We start from the raw sequence: 2,427 nt of genomic DNA, 5'->3' as shown, positions 1-2,427 counted from the left end.
GTCTGTCTAGACAGCCCCCCACCTGCCAGTGCCAGTAGACATATCCAGAGACCAAAGTACATTGTTAAGGTATTTTCTGTCTTTTAATAACTAAATTATCTTCTCAGACATGAATGGGAAGGTATAAAACACCATTAAAGATTGGGATGGGGGCCTATGAGCAAACCTTACCTGTAGTCTTTCCAGGATGAACCACATAGTCGTTAAGGTAAATACAGAAGGAATAAATAGATAAAGATATGCCTGGATGGTAGGATGGCTGGCTGGATACAGAGTTTCACAACCTTGGGACCATTGTTATTTTAGGCTGAAAAACTCAGTTGTATGGGCTGTCCTCTGCATTAGTAACATCCCTGGTCTCCAACTACTGGATGCCAGAAGCATCCTGCTCCTCACCACCAATTGTGATAACCAAAGAATATCTATCTCTAGGCATTGCTGGAAGTTCCTTGCAAAATTGCCCCTGGTTGATAGATGTTTGGATGGCCACATGGATGGCTGAATGAATGGCTGGCTGGCTGGCTGGCTGGATGGATGGATGGATGGGTGAGGATGACAAAGGCAATAGTGTGGGGAAAAGCAAGAGAGATCAGATTGTTACTGTGTCTGTGTAGAAAGAAGTAGACATAGGAGACTCCATTTTGTTATGTACTAAGAAAAATTCTTCTGCCTTGAGATTCTGTGACCTTACCCCCAACCCCGTGCTCTCTGAAACATGTGCTGTGTCAACTCAGAGTTGAATGGATTAAGGGCGGTGCAAGATGTGCTTTGTTAAACAGATGCTTGAAGGCAGCATGCTCATTAAGAGTCATCACCACTCCCTAATCTCAAGTACCCAGGGACACAAAAACTGCGGAAGGCCGCAGGGACCTCTGCCTAGGAAAGCCAGGTATTGTCCAAGGTTTCTCCCCATGTGATAGTCTGAAATATGGCCTCGTGGGAAGGGAAAGACCTGACCGTCCCCCAGCCCGACACCCGTAAAGGGTCTGTGCTGAGGAGGATTAGTATAAGAGGAAGGCATGCCTCTTGCAGTTGAGACAAGAGGAAGGCGTCTGTCTCCTGCCCGTCCCTGGGCAATGGAATGTCTCGGTATAAAACCCGATTGTATGTTCCATCTACTGAGATAGGGAAAAACCGCCTTAGGGCTGGAGGTGGCACCTGCGGGCAGCAATACTGCTTTGTAAAGCATTGAGATGTTTATGTGTATGCATATCTAAAAGCACAGCACTTAATCCTTTACCTTGTCTATGATGCAAAGACCTTTGTTCACGTGTTTGTCTGCTGACCCTCTCCCCACAATTGTCTTGTGACCCTGACACATCCCCTTCTCGGAGAAACACCCACGAATGATCAATAAATACTAAGGGAACTCAGAGGCTGGCGGGATCCTCCATATGCTGAACGCTGGTCCCCCGGGTCCCCTTATTTCTTTCTCTATACTTTGTCTGTGTCTTTTTCTTTCCTAAGTCTCTCGTTCCACCTTACGAGAAACACCCACAGGTGTGGAGGGGCAACCCACCCCTACACAATAGAAACTAGAGACCCTCCAAGGGAAGGAGGAAGAAACCTGGGAGGTAGAATACAGTCTGCTTAGCCACCAGGGACCCTCTGCTCCTGGCAGTTCTTCAGTGCTAAACCTTTATATATTAATTGACTTGGTTACTTAGGAGATTGGACAGGGACAGGTATCTGGAAAGGAGGGTTGAGGAGTCCAGAATAATTAGTGGGTGGGAACAGGGTAGGCACAGAAAATCTACTCATGCTTTCCTCTCAGCAGCTAGGACAGAACTGTTGTGAACAAAGTCTACCAGGAAATGACTTAAGATGATTCGGTTTCCCAGCATAAAACTGGGCGGACATGGTGAGGAAGGCGGTTCCCCTGAGGTATCTATAGTTATTCATATATCTATACCTATGTCATCTTGGAAGATAGAGATCTAGATCTATATTAAAAGCAGCAGCCGCTAACATGTATTGAGCATTTACTACTTTCAATACAGGCATAGTGCTAAGCACTTTATGTCCATTACTTAATTTCTCCCATCTCTATGAGGTAGTTATTACTACCATTACTATTGTCCCCATTTTATAGACCTGGAAACTGAGGCATTTAATTTTCGCAAAGTCACCAAGCTGCTAAGCGGTAGAACAAGGATTTGAACCCAAGCAGGCCACCTCCAGAATCTGTACTGTCTACCATCAGCATCTTTAATGATTTGTCTGTTCTGCTGTCTATATTCTCAACCTCATCTCCTTTAGTGACTTGGAGCCTTTAAAACAGCAATGCCTGTTACTGATTGCTAGGGGTTCAGCCTAGGTCCCGCTGCTTGCCACACAGAAAGCCAGTCGCTGAGACAGTGAGTATTGCCAAGGAAAATGGCTTTATTACAGGTGACGTCAGCTGGAGAGATGGGAGGCAAGCCTCAA

The 2,427-nt window shown here is 45.8% G+C and overlaps 1 annotated feature.

The window, feature by feature from the left end:
• Positions 864–1,489: an enhancer, noted in NCBI's record as "NANOG-H3K27ac hESC enhancer chr2:231708391-231709016 (GRCh37/hg19 assembly coordinates)". NCBI's record gives its function as "activates a minimal SCP1, AML or CMV promoter by ChIP-STARR-seq in primed H9 embryonic stem cells {active_cell/tissue: H9 hESC(primed)}" and the evidence as "EXISTENCE:reporter gene assay evidence [ECO:0000049][PMID:30033119]".

Source organism: Homo sapiens, chromosome 2, assembly GCF_000001405.40.
Source record: "Homo sapiens chromosome 2, GRCh38.p14 Primary Assembly".
Lineage (NCBI taxonomy): Eukaryota > Metazoa > Chordata > Mammalia > Primates > Hominidae > Homo > Homo sapiens.
The sequence above is the reverse complement of the archived record's forward strand: the minus strand, read 5'-3'. Positions and strand labels throughout refer to the sequence as shown.